Source organism: Homo sapiens, chromosome 1 (assembly GCF_000001405.40).
Source record: "Homo sapiens chromosome 1, GRCh38.p14 Primary Assembly".
Lineage (NCBI taxonomy): Eukaryota > Metazoa > Chordata > Mammalia > Primates > Hominidae > Homo > Homo sapiens.
In genome coordinates, this window is record NC_000001.11 from 170144028 (window position 1) to 170169602 (window position 25575).

At 38.3% G+C, this 25575-nt stretch overlaps 1 protein-coding gene and 2 non-coding genes across 6 annotated transcripts, besides 2 other annotated features; 2 read left to right on the top strand and 1 right to left on the bottom strand.

The window, feature by feature from the left end:
• Positions 1513-2044: an enhancer, noted in NCBI's record as "OCT4-NANOG hESC enhancer chr1:170114681-170115212 (GRCh37/hg19 assembly coordinates)". NCBI's record gives its function as "activates a minimal SCP1, AML or CMV promoter by ChIP-STARR-seq in naive H9 embryonic stem cells {active_cell/tissue: H9 hESC(naive)}" and the evidence as "EXISTENCE:reporter gene assay evidence [ECO:0000049][PMID:30033119]".
• Positions 1932-24839, top strand: NTMT2 (N-terminal Xaa-Pro-Lys N-methyltransferase 2). Of its 4 annotated transcripts, XM_011509233.3 has the most exons (6): positions 1932-2234; positions 11842-11860; positions 13942-14090; positions 16491-16666; positions 22475-22724; positions 23459-24839. In XM_011509233.3, the coding sequence occupies exons 4-6, from the start codon at positions 16532-16534 to the stop codon at positions 23728-23730; spliced, it is 657 nt and encodes a 218-aa protein (XP_011507535.1). In that variant the 5' UTR covers positions 1932-2234; positions 11842-11860; positions 13942-14090; positions 16491-16531; the 3' UTR covers positions 23731-24839. The 4 variants fall into 4 exon arrangements, with proteins under 4 accessions (XP_011507535.1, XP_011507534.1, NP_001129579.1 ...); XM_011509232.3 differs by lacking the exon at positions 11842-11860; XM_011509234.3 differs by lacking the exons at positions 1932-2234; positions 11842-11860 and adding an exon at positions 11870-11934.
• Positions 2045-2575: an enhancer, noted in NCBI's record as "OCT4-NANOG hESC enhancer chr1:170115213-170115743 (GRCh37/hg19 assembly coordinates)". NCBI's record gives its function as "activates a minimal SCP1, AML or CMV promoter by ChIP-STARR-seq in naive H9 embryonic stem cells {active_cell/tissue: H9 hESC(naive)}" and the evidence as "EXISTENCE:reporter gene assay evidence [ECO:0000049][PMID:30033119]".
• On the top strand, positions 7351-7435 carry MIR3119-2 (microRNA 3119-2). The gene has a single exon (NR_036065.1). It is a non-coding gene; the product is annotated as a microRNA 3119-2 (primary transcript).
• MIR3119-1 (microRNA 3119-1) lies at positions 7351-7435 on the bottom strand. Its single transcript, NR_036064.1, has one exon. It is a non-coding gene; the product is annotated as a microRNA 3119-1 (primary transcript).
• Positions 24840-25575: the final 736 nt, after the last annotated feature.

Sequence of the window (25575 nt, forward strand, 5' to 3'; positions counted from 1 at the left end):
AGGATTCGCTTCCAAGCTCACTTACACTGTTGTTAGTGGATTTCAGTGTCTTCTGGGCTGTTTGACCTAGGACTTCAGCTCCTTGACATGCAGGCCTCTCCACATGGCCACTCACAATAGGCAGCAGTCTTCCCACATGGCAAACAAGCAAGTGAGAGAAAGAAGACACCTAAGACAATCTTTTAATAACCTCTTCTTAAAAGTGACATCTCATCACTTTCACCATATTTTATTCTTCAGCGGTGAGTCCTTAAGTCCAGCCTATACTCAAAAAAAGAGGATTACAGGAAGAGGTGAATACCAGGAAGAAAGAAGATGGGGATTCTTATGGACTGCTGTGGACTGAATGTTTGTGTTCCATCAAAATTTTTATGTTGAAATTCTGAGCCCTAATGTGTTGGGATTTGGAGATGGGGGCCTTTGGGAGATAATTAGGTCATGAGGGTGGAGCCCTTATGAAGGGGATAAGTGCCCTTATAAGAAAAGACACAAGAGCTTGATTTAACTCTCTGCCATGTGAGCACACAATGAGAAGAGGGCAATCTGCAAACCAGACAGAGGGCCCTCACTAGACATGGGATCTGCCAGCACCTTGATCTTTGACTTCACAGCTTCCAGAACTGTGAGAAATAAATGTTTGTTGTTTAAGCCACATAGTCTTTGGTAATACGTTAGAGCAGCCTGAACTAAGACAGGGGTCACATTAGAAGTTGCCTACCATAATGTGTGCATTTGTGTATATTAGCATGTGTATATGTACAGGCAGGGGGTCTGTGGGTGCACATGGCATAGGGCCAATAGTGTATTGAGATCTTACACATTTTCCTGTTAGGAACATAAGGGGAGGAAAACAGTAGTCATGGTCCCTGTAGGGAACAGATGGAATTCACAAATTGGGAATTCGAACTGGTTTAATAAAGGGACTATTTACAAATATGTGGGCAAGTATAGGAAAATTACAAGGAATTGGGCTTGTCACCTGATACATCACTCCCCCTGGGCCTCAAGCAGTCAGGTGAAGGAGAAATGAACAGAACCAGGAGAGGATATTTGTATGAGAAGACCCTGGTCAGACGTATGACCTTTTGTTAAAGGATATGGTCAGCTCATGGCATTTCCACAGAGAAGGTGCCAAGGGAATAAATACCTTGACCTCACTTTCCTCCTGTCTCCTCCTGGCACTATCCATTGGCTAAAGCCAACTAGAAGCTAGAGGGCAATGGAGTCCACTGATGTAGGTCAGCCTCCTGGGGAACACATAGTAATGTATGAAGAGTGGAGAGTGTATCCGGAGGGACAATCAGAAGATACCCGGTACAGAAAACAAATGTACTTAAGAGGAAAATTATATTCAGAGTAGGCAGAGAGGAAGAAACAGGCTTACATGAATAGTTGTTGTTTACAGCAAGCTAGATGGAAGAGTTTGCTGACAGAGAAGGATATTTAACGTCAAAACAAGCTTTCAAATAATTGCTTCTCTTGAAGATCCTTCAAAATAGGAAACACATACACATTTCTATGAAATTATTTGGGAGAAATTGTACTGATGAAAGGAGCATGAGTGGCTAAGATGACTTTGAAGGGTCCTTGTAATTTGAGGATTCAGTGTTCTACGAGGAGTGATGGAAATCAGGGAACAAGATCTCTTGCAAAATATTCACAACTCTTTGAAATGGAAATTAGGCTATTCCAATTTAGAAATCAAATTAAGGCAAATATTCAGGGTGTTAGCAGGCTGTGCTCTTGCCTGTTTGAAGTGGTGGCTAAAGGAGAGAGGCGTGCTTTTTCCTGGATGAAGCAGGATCTCTCTCAGCCAGTTTTCATCCTTACTTAGCACCTGCTGGCTTGGAGTGGTGTCACCCAAGCAATCAGACGGAGGGACGTGCCAAGAGCCTGCCCTCCCCTCCCACTGTGTGCTGCCCCTCCTCCCCACACCCATGACAGCCTGTCCTGATATAGATGGAGAGGGGACTGGTTTAAAATGACAGTCTCAAGTTCATTTAGAAAGAGAAGGCTAATTCAAAGAAACAGCAAGGCAAGCTTCCTTTCTCTGTAGGAATCATTATTATCCCCCTTTGTCATGGCCCACCGGGGAGCCCATTTTGCCTTTAGATCCCGCTGGCAGAAGACCGACGATGAACTCTGTAGACATAGCATGTCTTTTATCCTTCACAAAGCCATTCGCAATGACTTCTTTCAGAGCTATCTCTACCTGCTGGAAAAAATTCCCCTGGGTAAGTGAGTCAGAGCTACTAGATAAGAAACAAGAAATGACTGATGGGATTGCATGAGGTCATGGGGCTTCTAGAAGAGAATTTAAAACAAGGACACTTTTCAGACAAAAAAAACTCCACAACCAATGTCACTGGGCTGAAATGTTTCAGTGGAATTCTTTATGGAGAATACAAAGATTAAGTGCCTAAAATAGAGTCAGGACTTTATTTTGGGATTTCCATGCACCCTCAGGCACTGTGATTTGCTTCTCTGGGTGTCTGTTGCATGAGTATCAGGCTTGTAGAAACTCAGACATGTTTAATATTTACAAAAAATTGTAATTGGGCAAATTTGATAATTCAAAGATGAGAGTATTAATGCATTAATACATTGAGTAAGAGTTAAAAAGAAAGACTAAATAATGATAGATCAAAATGTGCTTGGGTTATGTATGTATGTTTCTGTGTCTGTGCTTGTGTACACACTTACAATCCTCTGCGGTCTTCTTGAATCACAAGAATAGTCAGAGAGCCTAAAAAAAGGAGATTTTAGCTTGGTTTTTGAATATTAAGAAGTCAGTGGTCTGTCTCCATTTTTGTTATCTCCTCTAGTTTTCAGAGAATTGGACAATAGAGCAATAAAAAGCTTATCTGTTTTGCCTACTCTACTTTTTTCAGCCTCTGTGAAAGCAGTTACTTCAGGGCACCCTAAACAGCACTGAAGAGGAAATAACTTACCATTAAAGAGTAAAATACCCTTCTCCCTTTGATTTGTATTTTCCCCCAGTGAAAGCAAGAAGGCTGTGTATCAGCCTAGTCTGTTTTCTTAAGGTCGTTTGAAAGCCCCATTGTGCACTTGATGTGGTCAGGGTTTCCAGCTGTCGAAGCAGCTACATAATTCTTTGTATTGCATTCAAGCAACCGAATGTTAGCAGCCTACCAAAACCTTTTTGTAAATCCATTTATGAGGGATCTTTAATTCTAAACATACAAATACCTTCATCTCATATTTATATAACTTCTTTCTAAAACTTTTTATCGTCTATGACTTTATTTGATTCTCATAGTCACACTATGAAATAGATAGGGTAAGTTATCATTTTTTTTTCTACCTATCTTCCCTCCTTCTTCCTTTCATTTTACTTTTTCAAAGGAGGGAAGTAAAATTCAGAGATGATGATATTTAATCTAGATAGAGTAATATGAAAGCAAAGACCAAAGTCCAGGGCTTTTTTTTGGTAGATCACACTGCCCATGAGTAATTCTTTTAGGACGTATAATACATCTCATCTATATCCAAAAGGAAAAAAAAATACAGCAGTTTAAATGGAAGGTGATGATGTTCTAGTCACTTCATATACTGGCAAAGCATTGCTTTTCTGGAGACACTCTTCAGGCCATACCTCAATAAGAGTAGGTTGGTAGCTTTGGTTTTATTAGACTGGAGAAAGATATCAATTACAACAGCTGAGAAGAGAGTCACTAACAGGCAGATGACTGTCAAACTTTAAAAATATTTACTAGAGAGAAAAAGAAGTCACCTTTGAAGGCAGCTGAAGATGAGTTAAAAAGTTGAATACAATAGTCTCTTCTGAAAAGCAGATGAAAATTAATTTGGCACAAATGGACTATAATTTATATTTAGTCTCAATCCCTTTTTTTGTTCAATAAAATCATTTTGATTTTGTGTTTTTCTCCTTTGTAAATATGCTAATGTTTTACCAATGAGTTTTGACCTTTTAAAAAAACATTATTATCAAAAGGCAAAGTTTTTGACAAAATATTCCACTGACGCCCAATGTAAAATACAGGAAAAAGGGAAACTTTTCTGCATAGGATTGGGGGCAGGACCCTTTCCTTGGTCTATTCTCTTAGACTTACCACTGTCTCCTGAGGCACTCCTTTTTTTTTTTTTTTTTTTTTTTTGAGATGGAGTCTCACTGTGTCGCCCAGGCTGGAGTGCAGTGGTGCAATCTCGGCTCACTGAAAGCTCCACCTCCCAGGTTCACTCCATTCTCCTGCCTCAGCCTCCTGAGTAGCTGGGACTACAGTCCCCCGCTACCATGCCCGGCTATTTTTTTTTTTTATTTTTAGTAGAGACGGGGTTTCACCGTATTAGCCAGGATGGTCTTGATCTCCTGACCTCGTGATCCGCCCGTCCAGAGGCACTTCTCTAATACCTGTGGGGTTCCATAAACACAGTTTGAAAACCATTAGTCTATCCCAAGCCAACATTGCCTTCATTTTACTTATTTGCAGCTTTCCATAAATGGGCATTGCTTATTTTCTCTGACCCTGATGATTTGACCTGGACATTAGTTTGCCTGAGAGTCACAGAGCTAGCCTCATCCACAGTACCTCTTTGATGATAGAAATTTAGGGCTATGTTAGTCAATATGGACTGGGATAGGCTGCAGTAACAAATTAACTCTGGAATCTTAATAGCTGAATACATAAAAAATATTTTTTTCTCTTGCTACATCATTTTCAACATGCATTATTGGAGTTGTGGAGGGGAGGCTATATTCCACACAGGCATTCAGGGATCCAGGATGATAGAGGCTTTGCCAGCTGGAACATCACTAGTCACCAGGCAAGCAAATAGAGCAGCCAAAGTTTTGTCTACTAGCTCTTAAAAACTTCAGCCCCAAAGGACATCTATTACATCTGCTTAGAATTCATTGTCCAGAACTACAAGAATTCTGGGCAATATGAAGGGAGCACATATATATTTGTTCACTAGAAAATGTTTCTGCTACAGGGAAAAATATTGTATTTTGGAGATAAAAATACCAGACAATGCTTAGTTCTGATCAATTCAGTCATATTCAATGTAAGAGACATTTATGGAATTTCATTATTGTCAAAGTATTGTGCATTAGAAAGGATTCAAATATTAATAAGACAGTTTCCATTCTTCAGGATTTTATAATGTGACAATGGATGCAAATCTACAAATAACTGTGTATTAATCCTTTTAAACTAAGGGTGCAGGGAAATCAGGCTACCAGTTCTGTGAATACTCAGATTTTTTTGTAGCTTTTTCCTCTAATGGCAGAAGCCAAATGTTCAGAAAGGAATCTGCATGTAAGTCTTATCTGCCAGTGTGACTTTTATTCAATTAGAAGGCTTCCCTTAATCCTTGATTCACTCATTTAAACTTTGGTTTTTGTCCCAGGAGGTTATAACTTATATTTATGGAATGCAATTGCGTGTATTAGTTTCCCTATTGGACTCTCATTCCCATGAGAGTAAAGACTCGCCTATTTTTTCCTCTTTTGTATCTATTCAGCATTTACCATGGTTCCCGGCACATAGGAAAAACACAAAAAATATTTGTTAAATGAATTAAATGGCCTCTTACTAATAATTAATTGCAGATCAGCAAAGTTCTGAGTTTAAATTTTTGCACTGCTACTACTAGAAAACTAACCTCTGCAAGTTACTAAAGCCTCTGAGTATAATTTTTCTTAAAACTACAGCAGAGTTGATTGAAGGATTAAATGTTGGTATATATGTGAAATAGTCCTCCTCAGTAAATATTAGTTTCTTTATTTCCTTCCTCTGAGCCAGGCCTCTTTTAAAGTCACCATGTAGCTTTCTCTAGAACAGGCATTACCAAAAACGATAAACTTAATTCAAAATATGAGAGTTTTCAGGCTGCAGTGAGTATTAATTATGTTTTTCAGTTTGGAAATAAAACTTAGCCAGAAGAGATGCTTCCTCTCCAGCTCTGCTGAGGTGTTTTAGAGTCAGCTTCCTCTACTCTTGATAATTTCAAGACTTCATAGAAATGAAAATAAAGTCCTTCTTTCAAAAAGGCTAGGAACTTCTCCTGTAGGGTCTGCACAGAGAGTTTGTTGTTTGGGGTAATTATATGGAAAGAACGGTGGCTAACCAGACTCTTTGATTCCTTCTTTCCTTCCTTCCTCCCTCCAACTGCCTAGATTAGGCAGCAGTCTCACTCCAGCACGATATGTGGTGACATTCAGTCATGGGGAAATTTGCTGAAACATCCCTGGCAAGCTTCAGAGATTCATGGAATAGCAAAGACATACATACTAAAAATCTCCAATGGAAGACTCAGCTATGCTGTTGAACATAACTGATCTTCAGAAAGAAGTGAGAACAAGCCTATCATTGTTCTCAGTGTTTTGCATATATTATCTCAGTTCATTTTTATAACATCTCTATTAGGTGTGCTGTTATTTTCCCCATATTATATTTGAAGAACTGACACCTAGATGAGTTAAGTAACTTGCCAAAGATCTTGTGGTGGTGAGTGGAGTAGCAGGATTAGAACCCAGGTGATCTAACTCCATGATCTTTTTTAAACCACTACATAATACAATGTAAATGAAAACTTAACTAATGTGGGCAGCAATATAAGTTTTACCATATTTTATGATTTAACAGGAATAGGGAACAAACATAGCCTATGAAGAGCATTCGCTTTCTGTTGAGATAATCAAGATAGGCAGGCCAGTAAATAGGTTTAAATAATCTAGTTATGCCAACCAAATTTCTGTTAGAAGCTTGGTGTGAACAAATTTTCAAAAAATGGCTATTCATGAACAAATAGGAAATAGAATGGGAAAACAAGTCAGTGGAAATCTCCAGTGTGTATACCAGTGCTCAAAGGGCTCAACTGGAGATGTTGGGACAACATCTCCATGTTTAGTAACAATCATTGAGGAATAACTTAACACTCAATGATTCTTCCAGTGCTATCCACATTTCTGAACACATAGAAGTCAATGAATATTCATTAATTATATTATTGAGCAAAAGTCTATTACTCCTAGACATTGTTAAAGGCTTAGCCCAACTTCATGTGTAGAACAATGGTTCTGTGTGGTTTAACAGAAAGACCAGAAGCTTTGCATTTGAATAGGCATGTGCTAGGACCTGGTTATGACGTTTCTTTTCTATGTGATATTAAGTTACCAAGTCTCTCTGATTCTCTTACTCATCTATAAAATGACGATTATAATTCTAGTCTTATATAATCATTGTGATAGTTAAAAGAGACAATGTGAAGAGGTGACTTGAAAGTACCTAGCATAATACCTGGCACATAGGAGGTATCCTCTCTTGCGTTGATCCCTTTTCAGAAGAATCAGTCTCTGAGGAGGAAATTAACTATGGCTTTTAACTTTGATGGCAAAGACATAGATTGTTTAGCTACCCCTTTGCCATCAAAGTTAAAAGCCAGAGTTAATAACAACATTTCCTAAAAAGCACTTGGAACTTCCAGAATAAAACTCACCATACAGCTATTGGTATTTTAAAAATTTATTTCATTCCTGTGGTAGGCATTGCTGCACAACTCATTGTACAATGATACATTTTCAAATGTTTATCATTACCTGTGCAATACAAATGCTGCAAGACCATTTTTCTCTTTCAAGCAATGAAGAAAATATAATTTTCTTTTTTATTTAGCAGACATATTTTTAGGTGCAGAGTATGAGAGGGATGATCTATAGGTTTTCTACTTAAATAGACCTAGGTTCAAGTCCCAGATCTATCACTCTCTAGCTGCTTAACCTTGGGAAATTTAGTTAATCTCTTAATGCCTTGGTTTCTTCTTCTGTAGAATGGATATATAATGTTTATCTCACATAGTCAGTTCGATATAAATGTTTTGCATAAGTATTACATATAAACATGTTTGATCATCTATAGTTACTATTTTTTAATTATTTGAGTATGCCTAATTGGGAGGACAGGTATTTCATAAATGATACCAAAGGTATGACTTATGTGTGCTTATGTCGGTTAATCCCTATAACCATTCAGCTCTTTCTTGTACCCATATATTATTTAAAGAACAAAAAGCTAGCTTTTATTCAATGAACATTCAAAGAAGGCCCATCAAGAAGTTAGCATAACATTAAGTGCTAGGATTACAAAAAAATAAAATATAGCCTTATCCTGAAGAGTTTAGTGTAGGAGAGAGACGTACACAAATACTTTTTAAAAATGTGGTATTAAAGTGGTAGAGACCACTATAAAATTCTACAGAGGTGCAAAGGAAGCATGGGGACTGCTGAGTCAAATCTCATCATGAAAAATCTGTCTTCAGTATCTCCCCTTGACTTCTGGCCTTCTCAGATTTGATAGTAGGTCAGATAGAGAGTTCAAGAAAGAAGAGAGTTAGGAAGACACTCAGCGAGTAGGTAGGGGATAGATCTCTTGCTGAATTTGAGAAAGTAGATTGTCTTTCCCCAATTTAGAAGTCAGGAAACACTAAACTAGCCCTCAGTTGAAAAGAAAAAAGCCCCACACAACTTTCAGAATAGGCAGCGCCCTATTTTAGAGATAAGAAACATCAGACACCTAAAGCCTATAGGGAGCAAATAAAACCTAGAGGGTTCCTCTGGGCAATCCAGAGACTTGGTAATGACAGCTTTCTAGTATCCTGGCACATTTAAACCTTGGATTTCACCAGAAACACTGATAAATCCCCCCCCCACCACCATTGTTGATGAAAAATATAATGAGGAGGGTAACATTTATTGAGCTTCTACTCTAAACCAAACACCATACTAGGTGTTTTCACATGCATTATCTCATTTAATAATCTCAACAAGTTGTATGATAGGTTTTGATATATTTGGGATATTTGTCTCATCCAAATCTCATGTTGAAATGTAATCCCCAGTGTTGGAGGTGGGGCCAGGTAGGAGGTGTTTGGGTCATGAAGATGGATCCCTCATGCCTTGGTGTTGTCCTTAAAATAATGAGTGAGTTCTCATGAGAGCTGGTTGTTTAAAATTGTGTGGCACTTCACCCCACCTTTTACTCCCACTCTTGCCATGTGATGTGCTTTTTCCTGCTTCACTTTTAGCTATGAGTAAAAGCTCCCTAAGGCCTCCCCAGAAGCTGAGCAGATGCCAGTGCCATGCTTCTTTTACAGCGTACAGAACTATTAGTCAATTAAATCTCTTTGTTTTATAAATTAAGCAGTCTCAGGTATTTCTTTATAGCAATGCAAGAATGGCCTAACATAGACAATTGGTACTGATGAGTAGAGCGTTGCTCCTGAAATGCCTGACATGTGGAAGCATCTGATACTTGAAAATGTGGAATTGACTTTGGAACTGGGTAATGGGAAGAGGTTGGAAGAATTTGGAGGGCTCAGAAGACAAGATGATGAGGAAAAGTTTGGAACTTCTAAGAGCTGTTAAATCATTGTGACCAAAATGCTGATAGTGACAAGGACAGTGAGGCCAGAATGCTGAGATCTCAGATGGAAATAAGAAACTTATTGGGAGGTGGAGCAAAGATCACCCTTGTTATGCTTTAGCAAAGAGCTTAGTTGCATTGTATCCATGTCCTAGGGATCTCTGGAAGATTGAACTTAAGAGTGATGACTTAGCATATCTGGTGGAATAAATTTCTAAACAGCAAAACATGCAAGATGTGGCCTGGCTGCTTCTAACAGCTTAACCAGGATTTGGAAGCGAGAAATGACTTAAAGTTGGAAGTTATATTTAAAGGTGAAGCACAGCATAAAAGTTGAAAATTTGCAGCCTAGCCATGTGGCAAAGAAAGCTTTTTCAGAGTAAGAATTAAAGTAGATTGTGAAACAACCACTTGCTAGAGAGATTTGCATGACTAAAAGTGAGCCAGGTGCTAATAGCCAAGATGATGGGGAAAAGGTCTGGAAGGCATTTCAGAGATCTAAGAGACAGCCCCTCTCATCACAGACCCAGTAGTGTAGGAAAACTGGTTTCAGGGGACCAGGCCCAGGGCCCTGCTACCCTGTGTAGCCTCAGAGCACTGTTCTCCATATCCCACTCCAGCTCTAGCTGTGGCTCAAAGGGACCCAGGTACAGCTGAGGCATCTGCTCTGAAGGGCAGAAGTTGTAAGTCTGTTGGCTTCCACATGGTGTTAAGCCTGTGGGTTCACAGAGTGCAAGAGTAGTGGAGGCTGCCAAGCATCTGGATTTCAGAGAATGTATGGGCAATCCTGGGCACCCAAGCAGAAGCCTGTTGCAAAGGTGGAGCCCCCCACACTGAGATAACCTTTACTAGTGTGGAGGAGAAATGTGGGGTGAAGTCCCACACAGAGTCCCCACTGGGGGCACTGCCTAGTGGAGCTATCAGAAGGGGGTCAACTGCCTCCAGACCTGGGAATGGCAGACCCACCTGCAGTTTACAACCTCAGTATGGACTAGCCCAGGAGGGGAGCTGCCCAAGACCTTGGAAGTCCACACCTCAGTGTGCCCAAATGCGGGGCATGGAGTCAAGGATTATTTTGGAGCTTTAAGACTTAAGGACTGCCCTGCTGGCTGGGGTTCAAGCTTGTGAGGGACCTTTAACCCCTTTCCTTTGGCCTATTTCTCCCTTTTGGAATGGGAATGTTTACCCAATACCTGTATCCCCATTGTATCATGGAAATAAATAACTTGTTTTGATTTTATGGGGTTGTAGGTGGAGGAACTCATCTCCAGATGAGACTTGTGACTTGAGACTTGGGACTTCTGAGTTAATGCTGGAATGAGTTAAGACTTTGGGGGACTATTGAGAAGGGAATTTGAAATGTGAGAAGGACAAGAGATTTGGAGGGCCAGGGCAGAATCATATGGTTTGGATATTTGTCCCATCCAAATCTCATGTTAAAATATAATCCCCAATGTTAGAAGTGGGGCCTGGTGGGAGGTGTTTGGGTCATAGGGACAGGTCCCTCATGGCTTGGTGCTGTCCTCTTTGTGACTGAGTTCTTATGAGATCTGGTTGTTTAAAAGTGTGTGACACCCCACCCCTCCCCTTGCTCCTGCTCTGCCATGTGACATGCCTGCTCTGGCTTCACTTTCTGCCATGGTAAAAACTCCCTAAGACCTCCTCAGAAGCTTAGCAGATGCCAGCGCCATGCTTCTTGTACAGTCTGCAGAACTGTAAGCCAATTAAATACCTCTTTTCTTTATAAATTACTCAGTCTCAGGTGTTTCTTTATAGTAACACAAGAACAGCCTAACACAGGTATCATTACCTCTTTATAGAGGAAGAAGCTGAGGCTAACATGAGTTATGTAACCTATTCAAGATCATAAAACTAATTAGTGTCAGAGCTGGCAAACAAATCCAGGAATGTCTTACTCCAACTTTTTCCTTCCTCTCTCTTTTTTCCTTTCCTTTCTTCCCTCTCTTCCCTCCTCTCTTCCTTCCTTTTTTCCTATTTTACCATTACTTCTTTAATGGCTAAATTGAGAAGTACTTATCTGCAAATCTCTTTTATGGAAGGTCTTACCTTTCATAGGGGCATCTCCTAATTGGGCTTTTTTTTTCTGTTACAAAGGGCTAACTTGATCAAATATTATCAGACTCAACTCATTTAAAAATTACTGTCTAAACCTAGCTTACTTGTCTTCTGAAGAATTTTAGATCATTTTTTAATTGACAAACAGGTCTAATAGCTGGAATAAAGAGGCATTTTAAAATAGGTATATTCAACCACTTGAAAAAAGAAGAAAGAAAAGAGGATACTCAGCAGAGGTAAGCACTTAGCTATCAACAAAACTTCCTGTTTGTCAGAAAGTCTTCATTTTATTGCCAACTTGGATAATATTGTCTCGACTTGTTGTCCCTGTCTCTGATACTAGATCAATATTTCCTTTCAGGTCCAGATTAAGATTTTGAGTGAGTATTCTGTTTTTCTCCAAATTTTTATATTGAAAGACAGCAAAAGTCATCAAATGGTGCATTGCCTCAAGGTAAACTGACTTATTTGCTTCTTAGAGTCAGAAGTTGAGACCTTAAGCCACAAAATTCTTTTGCTACCTGCAAAAGAGTTTCTCAAGGAGGCATTTGAAAATTCTGAGTTTTATCCAGATAATTCATGCCATGTGACATTTCTTTCCTGCTCATTTTTTTGCTAACCCAAATAAAAAGTATCCTTCATGGTTAAGGTCTTATGGAGTCTTCTTGCTGCTACTTGCAGGCATCTGCTGCATGCCCAGCGCATTTTTTTGTACTATTCTTTGGACATGCAGCCATATGACTTAACTCCTCCATGCTAGAGTGTAATCTCCATGAGAGAGATTGAGCTTTATGTTTATTTCCTGAATGTTGTACTGGGGCTTAATAACTGAATCATGAATGAACTGTCTTTTGATGTAAATTCTCTTGGATATTAACCTTTCCTAGAAATTTCATCTTTATTCTCCTTCAGAGTAAACAAACTTGTACTCTATTTTTCTTTTCACCACAAGTAAACAGTGGAAGGTCCTTGGGAATTCAACTAATAATGTAGATCAATAAATAAATATTACATTAAATAAAAAACAAATAGTGTCTAGTTTTTGTCTTGAACTACCCCAAGTTTCACAGAGACATTGCAATTCTTTAATTTGCCAGTATATATATTTCTATAGTAAAAAGCCATGTGCTGGTGACTGGTTTACTTATCTGAGTCAATATGCACAATTGCAGAAGCTTTCAGGAGGGGAGAACCTGGGGCCGAACATGACACCTCATATATCTTTTTTTTTTTTAGTGAAATGCTGCTGTCAATTAGGTGAAAATGAGAACTCAAGCCTATAACCATAAAAGCCCACCTATTGAGTCTGACGCCTGCTGAGATTGGCATTCACTTGTGGTCTAAATGTTGCTGGCATAATGGACCATTCCTATTTCTAGATTAAGGGTTTTAATAGACTGCACAAACCAGTTGACTTAAGCAGGTGATGATGAGTGTGGCTGCTTTGCTGCTTTGGTTGGATCAAGAGAGCCCTGGGCTATGGCTTGCCAATAATCCCAGAGTAGCATCCAACCCTGGGCAGCCTGTGAGCTGTGAGTTCCTAGCCTGATTTTCTGAGACATCGAAAGAATTTGGAACAGTCATATTATTGGTGATGGCTGGTTTCTGTCATCCCTGTTGAATTTATAAGCACTTATTAAGTCACTTGCTGCGTATACCCTTTACCAAGTGCTAGGGAAGGGAGATTGGTGTTGATCCATGGTTCTCAATGTTTTTGAACATAAGGACCATCCTTTTAATGTTGTATTTTCTCAATCAGTAGCTAATTTGTATGTAAAATAGCAAAAAAGCTTCTATGTATTTATTTAAACTTTTAAAAGATTTATATTTTTAAAATAACAATCTATGTATAATAGTTAACATGTATGGAGGATATAAATAATATTGGTGGCCTCCAGAAAATGATGTGCTACATAGAAACTGATTCTTGTTCTCATTATCCCTTTCAGCAAATTCATGGTGATTCAGGGTACAAACACTGGCTCCAATGTCTCCAAGTTGGAAAATGCTGATGTAACTCCATAGATGGAACATAGTCATAGTAATACAAGTTGTATTTTTTGGATTTTTAACTCTCAGAATCAAAATTTGGAATTATGTAATTGTTCATTTCTGAATACTATCCAATGTCTCAGTCTTGGGGTTATCTGAAGAAAAATGCTCTTAGTTAAAGTGAAATAGGTATTTTTCTCTTTGATTTCTTCTGCTCAAATTTATGTCATATTTTGGCTTGCTTCATGCCCTGATCATAACATTTTTGAATCACTGTATATTTTTCTTGGAGCTTTCAATTATGTTTTATTTTTGGTGGTTTAGATTAAAAGTATGTCCTCCTTAGAATATTTCTAATATCTCCTTGCTTCTTGACTACTCTATTGCCTTGGATCTAGCTTATTCTACTTAAAGATATTATTTTTGAAGTCTATGTTTTGTCTTGTAATATAAACTGATTTCTTTCCAGATCTGATACATATCTGTCATTTTGGGATTTCTTTTCATTGGATTCCTGGTTAATTACGTCATCTTTCATCGTGCATCTTCTCTTGATTGTAACCCTCATTGGGCTGGAATATAGCTTCAAGAAACTTCTGAAGAATGAATCTATAGGAGGTAAATATTCTATAATAATTTGACTGGATATGAAGTTTAGTTTCCAAAAATTTGATCTCAGAATATTGGTGGCACTGTGCCATTGTTTTCTAGTGTTTCTGATGAGATCTGTGATAGAAGCCTGATTCTAGTCTTTTGAACATAGAGTTGCCAAATAAAATATATGATGCCAGCTAAGTTTAATTTTAACATAATTGACAAATAATTTTTAGTGTAAGTATTTACCCTGGAATGTGCAATATTTCAGGCATACTCATACCAATAAATTATTCATTATTTGTCTGAAGTTCAAATATGTGTGTTGTGTATTTTTTTTCCCTAAATCTGGCAATCCTATTTGAAGGTCAACCACTCTTCCTTCTCTAAATGACTTTTAGATCTTCTTACTACTCTTTCTGTTTTGAAATTTCTTACAGATGTGCTCAAATGTGGCTTTAAAAAAAAATCTATGCATCTCAGCACTGTTAGATCTTACAGTCTCTTTCAGCTCCAGGGAATTTTCTTCTATTACTTTCTTTAATAATTTTCTTCCCTTCATTTTATTAGTTTTCTAGAATTCTAATTAGCTTGATCTTGGGCCTTCTGAATTGCTTATATAAGTCTAGTCTTCTTATTTCTGTTTTGCATATCTATCTTTTTGTTTTATGTCCTGGAAATTTACTCAACTTTGTATCTTAAAGATTTGGTCATCAAAACTTTAATTTATAAGAATTCTTTATTGTTCTTTTAATTATAATTTTCTTGGAATCTTATCTTTAATTTATGGATGTGCCTGTTCTCATATCTCTTCAAAGATTTATGAGTTTTTCGTTTGTTTTGGCTTAAATTCTCATCCATTTCCTGAATTATTTTTGTTTTCTTTGAGGTCAGTTCTGATTATTTATCTCAGTCTTTGTTTTTCAGGCTTCTTATGTGTTTGGAGATCATTTATCCACATTTAGGAATAAAAAACAAGGTAAATAATTCTAGGCAATAGATAAGGTTTCCTTTGTTTTGTACTTGTCCCCTAAATAGAAAGGAAGACAAGAAGCCCTACATGTGCAGGTAGATTTTACCAGATTCTGATGAGTGGGAGTAAGTGACAGTACTTGGAGTCTTATATATGTGAAAATGAGTAGTGTTCTAACATTTTAATGCTAACTGGTCTAGCTCTTCCTAGGCAATTTGTCTATTTATTCTTTTTTAAGACAACAGACACATTTTCCCTTTCTAGGATTACAGCTGTGCTGTCTGCTGCTTTTAGGAGGGTGCACTTGCCCTCTTACCTGGTTGTTCTCTGGACAGAGTTTTGATTTATGCTCTGGTTTTTTTTTTTTTTTTTTTTTTTTGGTTTCCATTCTCATTCGTACATTTGCCTTCCTGCTGATTCTAAGTCTGGAATGTAATTTACTCTTGCAAATATTTTGGCCTGCAAATTCTTTAGCTTTGTTCCGTCTGCTTTTTGTTGTCCAGAAATTTATTGGAATCATGAATCTGTCAGTGATACCCTCTCATTTTCCTCACTATTATGGGTTTAGTGTTTTAAGATAATTCTCAGGGAATATTGGGAGGGAGAGAAGACAAATGCATGTACTCAGCCTACAATCTTGAACCAGAAGTTCCATCCTTTAATCTACTGTCTATCATTTTATCATGAATGTCTTATGATGAAAATATTTTATATCTGCATGGGTGAATTTTAGCTGCAAAACACACTTACGTGTACTCTCATTTATTCCTCAGAAGTTGGAACACATATTTTTCTTATACATTTTTGAAAATAATGAAATGACAAAGTATATGTGAATGTGCCTGGCACACTACCTAGGACAGAATGGCTGCACAATAAATATTATGTTTCCTTTATTATTTTATTTTCACAATGTAGAGTTCAAGCACATTTCTGTAATATTGATATGAAGACATATTTGGATATGTGTTGCTTGAAAAAGATATAAAAACAGTTACCCCTACCTTGCGATTAGAAGTAATTTTTTCATTAAACTTTATTATAAGCTTAATGAGAAAATTCTCAGAAAACATTTGGAGTTCAGAGATAGAACTCACTGCAAAATTGATGACATTCTTTACATTATTGTAGCTAACACTGTTAAAAATTTTAATACAGTGATATAGCTATGGGTTTATTCAACTATAGAGTTATTAAGTCATGAAAATGCCACGATTATTATAATCCATAGATGCGATCTCTGAAGATCAGAGGAGTTAAGATGTTTTCCCAGCATTACATAGTGCATAAGTCATGGAGCCAAAACTCAAACCCAAATCTTTTGACTTCAAACCAGTGCTCTTTTTGCCACAGCACAGATTCACAGGCTTTTAAAAGGAAATGCAATGCATAAAGCTGAGATTTTTTTATCTTATAAATATTAATACCTATTAATAATGTTTCATTTGCAGTGAAATTGTACGCTTTAACAAGCCAAGTCATCAATGGTGAGATGCAGTTCTATGCCAGAGCTAAACTTTTCTACCAAGAAGTACCAGCCACAGAAGAGGGTATGATGGGAAATTTCATTGAACTGTCCAGCCCAGACATCCAGGCCTCTCAGAAATTTCTTAGGAAATTTGTTGGGGTGAGTTATTCAACTGCAGCTTGATGAGAAGGCAAAGTCCTTGCAAACATTGAGCTCGCATGCCTCTGTGTTGTTATTTAAGTCACGACTAAGCCATATGACCCAGCCAAGAGTTCTGCCGCCTGCAAGCCGGTTTTAAGATGTTCAGAAAGGATGAACCATTTTTGATATGATAAATATAATAACACTGTCTTACCCTCCCACTTGGCATTTCACTGTCCTATCACCAACTAATCTTACATGCTTCAGAGGAAGGTGAATTAGCAGTGTTGATATAAAATTTGGGAATAAAGAAGACATCTCTTTTAGAGTCTCATAAACGTTTCATACCCAAATGATTGATGACAGATCATGCCTTTTGGGATCTTGGGTTGACTTATTGATTCCCTGTAATAAAAATGAGATGTTGGCCTGGCTAACACAGTCAAACCCTGTCTCTACTAAAAATACAAAAAATTAGCTGGGCGTGGTGGCGGGCGCCTGTAGTCCCAGCTACTTGGGAGGCTGAGGCAGGAGAATGGCGTGAACCTGGGAGGCAGAGCTTGCAGTGAGCCGAGATCACGCCACTGCACTCCAGCCTGGGTGACAGGTGAGACTCCGTCTAAAAAAAAAAAAAAAGTTAGAAGGAAATACATGATTATGTTCAGTTTAAAAACAATGAAGGTAGAATATTTTTATACTATTTTATACATAGTTTTGATTTTACCTTGAAAGAATGGTATCCTTTTGTAGTCCTGCATTGGGTCAACCCCTATTACTTCCTTACTGTCATGTCATATGAAGACAGACAGTATATTGTAGGGGTCAAAATTTTGGCCTTTATGTCTATCGTGGTTCTTCTGCTTAATGTATAAGCAACTTTGAGCTTGTTACTTAAATGCACCAAGTGTCAGTTTTCTCTCTTGTGACTAGGGCATGACAATAGAAGCTACTTCACAGGATAATGTGGAGATCTAATGAGATAATACATGTCAGGTACCTGCTTTAGTGCACAAAATTAGTACCCAATAAATCTAATTTATTGCTATTACTACTACTAACAGGCTTTCATATAATGTATTCATTGTATTTTAAGGAACTTCATTTAGTTGTTAGAAAAGACTTAATCCCCAAGAAAGGCTGGGTATGGTGGCTCATGCCTGTAATCCCAGCACTTTATGAGGCTGAGGTGGGTGAATCACGAGGTCAGAGTTTGAGACCAGCCTGGCCAATATGGTGAAACCCTGTCTCTACTAAAAATACAAAAATTAGCCGGGCGTGGTGTTGCGCGCCTGTAGTCCCAGCTACTGGGGAGGCTGAGGCAGAAGAATCGCTTGAACCCAGGAGGCGGAGATTGCAGTGAGCTGAGACCGTGCCAGTGCATTCCAGCCTGGGTGGCACAGCGAGACTCCATCTCAAACAAACGAACACACAAACAAACAAACAAAGCAAAGCAAAGCAACAACAGAAAAGACTTAAACCCCAAGATAAAGCTGCTGTTAGTTCTATTAAAGATGAAAAGTTCTAATTGGTAACAGGTTTTGTTCCAATACATTACAAAGTCATTGGTTTGAGATTTGGTGCCCATTTTATTCTGATAAAGGAAACATAAACATTAGGCCGTGGGGTTAGGCCATCAACCGATTTAGTAGCAAAACATTAATATCTCTAGTATTGAGGTGAGGTTCACTTCAAATCCAATCTTCCTGGAGCACCCAGTGTGTGAGTCCAGAGAGTGACAGTAGATAAAAATGTGATCAGGATGATGTATTTACTGGGGCCAAAGTGTCTGGACATCAGCTTCAGCCATAAAGGACTAGAGAGTCTAGGAATGAAGACTGTGGATATTTATAGGTTAGGTTAACTTGGAGTATTTCTAAATCAGTGCTGCTGACTGGTTTCACTGAATGCTGGTTCTGAGAGAGTCAATCTGCTAAGCGCTTTAGAAGCGTTGTCTCATTTACTCTTCATGCCAATTCTTGGAGGTAAGTGCTATTATTAGCTCTGTTTCTATAGTTGTGGAAACTGAGGCTTGAAGAGGTTAAATAAGTTGTCAAGATTACACAGCTGGTAAGAGACAGAACAGTGAATTAAGCCCAGCCAGGTCTGCCTGACACCAAACTCTCTGCTCTTAACCATGACATATTTTTTCCATTTGTCTCATGAAACTGAAAAAATCCCTGCTTTATTTATTTATTTATTTATTTATTTATTTATTTACTTTTTTGGTGGACCATAGACCTCGACTCTCCTCCAGTCTGGCTGAAAGCAATCCCTCCTGCTTGCCTCGTGGTGAGGCCGACTTTGATCCCAAAGTATTTCAGAAGCTTAGTTAGTAATCCAGCTGTCTTGTCACTCCGTGTGGAATGCCAAGCTGACCACAGGGATGCTGGTCAGACAGAGCCCATAAGCACGCCCACAGACCTGGGAAAGGAAACAGCCTTGCGCTAGCATATTTATGTTGGAAAAGAGGCAGCCTGCTCCTTTGAAACAAATATAAGGAGTCCTTCTTAGTACACAAGGCTCATTGTAAAGCTGTGACTTCTAAGTACAAATGCAGTCCTTTTTAAGGACTGATATTTTGGTACTTTGACCTTCATACTGTAATCTACTAGATTAGTATTCAGGTCAAGATACAAAGAGTTAGGGAATACGAGTATCTGACATGACTTATTCTTGTGTCAACTGCGAAAAGAAGATTGTTTAATTTAAAGTTTTGTTTTCCTTTCAACACTTAATGACATGAGACAGTGGGAAAAGGTGTTTAAACTAGTTGCAAATGTATTTACTTTAGCAAATAAACAAATGATACCAAGATGATGTCAATGCCATAGTTGATAACTTTCCTGTTTTAGCTTTCTAGTGGGAGAAAGTAGTAATTCATAAAAACCCCTCAGTATTTTTTTGACAGTATTTATTTTTTGACATTTCTCAAAGATTGGATAGCTAAAAAATCTGGGTCTACTAACTTGTTATATTTTATAGTTTTTACACAGTGACATGAGGTCCTTTCATTTTAGTTTTTTAACTCCACTGGATAAACCTAAAATAATGTTCTTCAAAACAAAATACATAGGCAGAATCAAAACTAAACTGAAATTCCTAATAGTGTTTTACTAGTTTATATGGATTCATAAGTATAAACATGGCATAATAAATGAAAATCAAAATAACCAAATGGGTTCACACCTGTAATCCCATCACTTTGGGACGCTGAGGCGGGTGGCTCACCTGAGGTCAGGAGTTCCAGACCAGGCTGGCCAACATGGTAAAACCCCATTTCTACTAAAAATACAAAAATCAGTGGTGTGTGATAGTGCACACCTGTAATCTGAGCTACTCGGGATGCTGAGGCAGGAGAATCACTTGAACCCGGGAGGTGGAGGTTGCAGTGAGCTGAGATCGTGCCACTGCACTCCAGGCTGGGTGACAGAATGAGACTCTATCTCAAAAAAAAAAAAAAAAAAAAAAGACCGTCTTGTTTTGAAATCACACATCGCATGTAGTTCTAGTCATATTCATTCAAGGGCATCAGATTTTAATAAAATCACAGTTTCAGGCAGCCATGGTGTCCAATAAAGTTCATGGTGCTTTATTGTTCCAGGATTCTACTTCTGAAACCACTTACTACACTAATGAGAGCAGCATGACCAATAGAGGCTTTTAAGGCCAAGTAATAAAAAGAAAAATTTGAAATGAGACGCTCTTATTGAGCATACACATTTTAGTAGTCATTTCTAATAATGACATAATTTCTCCATATACTGCTCATCTTTTTGTTATGAATTTACTTAGAAGATGCTTCTTTCACAGCATTCATGCCTAGGCCTTTTTCTGAATTAGTTTAGTCTAAATTATATTTGAATGTGACATGTGGCATAGTGTAAGTAAAAATGGCAAACACATGGCAGTATATTACCACTTCCCCTTCTCATGCTTGAGGCAGACATCACTAATCAATCATAGATCTCTTTTCTGCTGAGTCTAAATGAAGCCTTATAATTCTTTTTAACATAGCATTAGACAGATATTACCAAGGGAATCAGAGGTGACATCCCTAATGGAGAACTGGCTTTGGATTCAGACCGTTCCTGTTCAAATTCTAATTCTGCCATTAGCTATGAAATATTAGAAATCTGAGTTTTCTCATCTCCAAAATGAGGATAATAATCTATATTGTGGAGTTTTCTTATTATAATTACTATAGCTAAGAGCTTGCTGTGTATAAATAATAATTGTGGCTATTATTATTCCATTTGGAAAGAAGTTACAATTCCTTCACTTTTTGTTCTTCATTGTACTTTTCTAGCATAACGAAGGCCATTTGGGTGGACTGGAAAGCTGCTTTTCTGATGTTTCCCTCTGTTTGTATTTTACCTTTGATCCTTAGCCAATTTTTTTTTTATTCTTAGTTCCTGAGAAATCAAGAGTAGGCTTTTCCCTTAAGATCTTGATTGGCAACTTCAAGTATCTTGTTACTGTAATTTCTAGCACAAAACCGCTTCAGCAGCCATCCCAATTATGACCAAATAATTTAGACCATCTGAATCTTCATAAATCAGAAAAGTTTTTTAAATTTTATGGAAGCAAGTTTGAGAAAGTTTGCGTAGGCTGATTTCTCCCTACCTCCACCACCTTGCCATCCCCTCACTCCCAGTTAATTTAATGCACAGACCTACTTAAAAAAACAGTTTTAGAGTTTTATGCCCAATAAATCATGTAGTTTCTGGTACCAAAAAAACCCAGAAAACAATGTTTAGCATTAAAAGACACAAGGAAACTTTGCCAAAACTACCCTTTATCCATGTGAACTTGCTGTGTGCCATCAGGGCTGTATTTGAAATAAAATTCTGGCCTGAGAATGGAACAGTTAGCATTGTTCACCTCAGGTTCCCAAACTTACCATCCACCTAAGAGGAGTAGATAATTCAGAGCCTTCAAAATTTGCCTAGAAAAGATAAAATTCAAGTATTCCAAACTGAAATGTTTCCATTGAATGAATCTTTAATTTTAAAACTCAGAAAGGTTCTCACTGTTTGGTTCTTTTTTGCTTTTCTGTAGTGTAATAATCTGTAGGCAACAATCTGTAGTGTAGAACCATTTACCTGTGGATTTGTCTCAAATTTAGTCATTAAAGTTTTATCTTCATAGGGCTAGCAATGGCTCATTTTTTTTTTTTTTGGAGAAAATTACCAAGTGTTTAAACCTAAGATATTATTTTTTTAAATCTCATTTATAATTCTTTTTTTGGATAAATAAAGAAAGCAGGACTAGAAATGTTTAGCTGTTTTTTGAAAAGATAATTGTATATCTTGATTGTGGTAGTAGGTGCATGGCTATTCACATTTGTCCAAAATCATCAAATTGTACACAAGAAATGGTACATTTCATTTCATAAAATTTACCTAATAAAGTTGATTTAAAGAGGTAACTAGGGTGTGCAATTTTCTTTCTTTTTTTTTTTTTTCTTTTTTTTTTTTTTTTTGAGACGGAGTCTCGCTCTGTGGCCCAGGCGGGAGTGCAGTGGCGCAATCTCGGCTCACTGCAAGCTCCGCTTCCAGGGTTCACGCCATTCTCCTGCCTCAGCCTCCCGAGTAGCTGGGACTACAGGCGCCCACCATCACGCCCGGCTAATTTTTTTTGTATTTTTAGTAGAGACGGGGTTTCACCGTGTTAGCCAGGATGGTCTCGATCTCTTGACCTCGTGATCCGCCCGCCTCGGCCTCCCAAAGTGCTGGGATTACAAGCGTGAGCCACCGCGCCCGGCCTGGGTGTGCAATTTTCAAGGATGGGTCTCTGTACTTGAAATATCAAGGTGCCTTTCTGCAGGGGCCTGGGAGAGCTGGAACAGACTGCGCCTTGGACTGCGGCTCCGGGATAGGAAGGGTCAGCAAACACGTCTTATTGCCTGTTTTCAACAGTGTGGAGCTGGTGGATATGATGGAATCCTTTCTCCTTGAAGCCCAGAACTACCTGCAGGTCAAAGGTGACAAAGTAGAAAGCTACCACTGCTACAGCCTGCAGGAATTCACACCCCCCTTCAGGAGATATGATGTCATCTGGATTCAGTGGGTCTCTGGTTAGTCCTGCATGACTTTCCCTCTGCTTTTCTCCCCTTCTCAGCCAGAGAAGACAGTCCTTGGGGCTAATGAGGGCACCAGGGAAGAGTTAGCTGTAGTACTTCAAGCAGTTAGCTAGCCTTAGGTGTCATGTGAACTCCCACAAAACTCTGATCCTCCAGATTTCTCCCTTGACATTTTCTGTACAATAAATTTACATTTCTTGGAGGATTTACGTTGGTTCTCGAACCAACTTAAATGGAGCAAGTGCCTTTGGACCAACCTAAATCCTCGAAGAAATGTAAATACTTGAAAAAATTTCAAAAGTGCAGTCAAAAAGGTTAATCCCCATTTATTGGCAGAACTAGACATTCTTAGATTTAAATCCCCAGGAAATGAGACAGCAGTGAATTTGATTTTGGGGTGTGTGTGTGAGACACAAAGAAGTGGTAATAGAGGGGGTTCTCCAGGGGACATGGAGGGACTTGTGGGGTAGACAATAACTTATCTCATGCCTATGAGGTCGACAGGCTAGGTAGGATAATACATTTTATAGACGGGGACAGAGGCTTCTCTAAGAGGATATGTGTCCTCTTATCTAAATTTTCAAAGCCTCCTGTAACTAAATGAGGCTATTAAATCATGAATGAGTGAACAAATGGTCTCCTGATTCTTAGCCATGTTCTTCCCTACTCACCTTCCATCCTCCCCACCATTTCTTCCTGTTCCCCCATCCACTTGGTCTCCCTTGTAGGGCACCTGACTGATAAGGACCTTCTTGCATTTCTTTCCCGGTGCCGAGATGGCCTGAAAGAAAATGGCATCATCATATTGAAGGACAATGTGGCCCGGGAGGGCTGTATCCTTGATCTCTCTGACAGCAGTGTGACTCGGGACATGGACATCCTCCGGAGCCTAATAAGGAAGAGTGGGCTGGTGGTGCTGGGCCAGGAGAAGCAGGATGGCTTCCCAGAGCAGTGCATCCCCGTGTGGATGTTCGCACTGCACAGCGACAGACACTCCTGAAAAAGCAGTGGGAATGAACGACTGGACTGGGCAGTGGTGCTTTGGGATGGGGTTGCTATCCTTCCAGGTGCCCCTTGTAATGCAGATAGGGATGGCAAGAAAAGGGATACAACATATGTCTGCAAATTATTTGTGATATAATATGTACATGTTTTCAGTGATTATATAATGCACACACTCTGATGAGACATGCACAAATTCTGTGGATTTTCTGAAAAAAAAATGGAGTGAAATATCAGGAAACGTGCTTTAAATCCGTTTGTATGTATCTAAACTGTGCAAGCGTGCATGAAAACAGAAGGCATAAAGGACAGCTGGCCTGCATCAGTATTTGTAAAAATTGTCTTTCACAACATCCTAGACAAAAATGGTGGTTTTTTTTTTGTTTTTCCATCACAAGATGAAATCAGCATTCTGTGCATCAAGGAAAACAAATAATTTAGCTTTGGGGGTTGTTCAGATAAAGCATTTGTCTACTCAAACAAAAAAAAAAAAAAGAAAAAGAAACAATGCCCACATATTCCAAACTGTCTTGTTCCCTGATAATTAGTATTATAGAGTATTCTGGTGGGGGTGGGGGTAGGAGAAAATCTACACTCCTTTCCCCGCCTTCATGTCAGCTACATTATACTTCCTCTTTGGTACTACTACTTCTCTTGAACAAACATCTCCCTCTAATTAAGAAGACACTAGTCAAAATAATCTTGTGAAAACAAGTCCATTATTTAATTTTCTCTTTAGCCTTTCTCTTGGCAGAAAAGGTATTTGGTTTCACTTTCTATTTTGGGTCAGTTTTACTACCCAATGATGTAATATGGATGTAATTTGATAACAGAAGTCTGCATTACAGTGATGGGAAGTATCTCCTTTCAGGAGAAAATGTTGTGCCCTGAAATTTCAACCTTTAACATATAAGTAAATGTCATTGATAATCTAATTTTAGTCTTTGCTTTTCAACATGGCTTGGTTCATTGCAGCTGCTCCTGGGGTCTTGATTGATATGAATGTATATTGGAAAGAGAAGCAGCAAAAGAAATGGACAAGGAAATGATAACCCTGAAAATTGACTAGCTGGACATTGGTTTAATTAAAAATAATCTAAAATCATTCAAAAAATGTAATTCAATTTTTATTAGCAGAATGCTAAATATAACTGCTGTTGTCTTTAAAACACTTCAACATCCTTCACAGGGAAGCACATTTGTGCTTGATATGTATTGAGTCTTCCATGAAATGCAAATAATCAATTTAAGTAAAGAAGACAGACTACATGGATATGCTATCATCATAAAATAGTATTTTCAGGTCACAGCTCTCATTTCAGAGGAAAACAATTTTGATAAAACATTTAATACATTGTTGTAGCTTTACCTTGGTAGTTTCATTTAGCGTGCTGGAAAATTATTTCACCTATTCTGCTCTTGGCATCTTACAGCTGTTGTATGTTACTCGCCATGCTCTAGGGTAGCGTGCCACTCAGAATCCGTGACAAGCAAGCCAGGGACCAGAGCTAAATCAAATGGTAAACCATTACCAAACAGTCTAAGTGCAGCAAAACAATGGTACTTATGTTTTAGGCCTTTGTAATTCTTAGAGCAAATTAGCAGAATCTTCTTTTTAGGCTCATCCTGGGAATTTTCTGTTTCTTTCACCAGTATCCTTAATTCTCTTAACCCTTGACTTTCTGCTTTGCCAATATTCACAAGCTGATTGACACAGTTGTCAATATTCTCTGCTATGGGCTTCTGAGCTTATGGAGGGAATGACATAATTTTCCTGTAGATACTGATATATGATTTTCAACTCAGCTGGGTCATTGAGGTTGATCATCATTCCCCTTTCTCA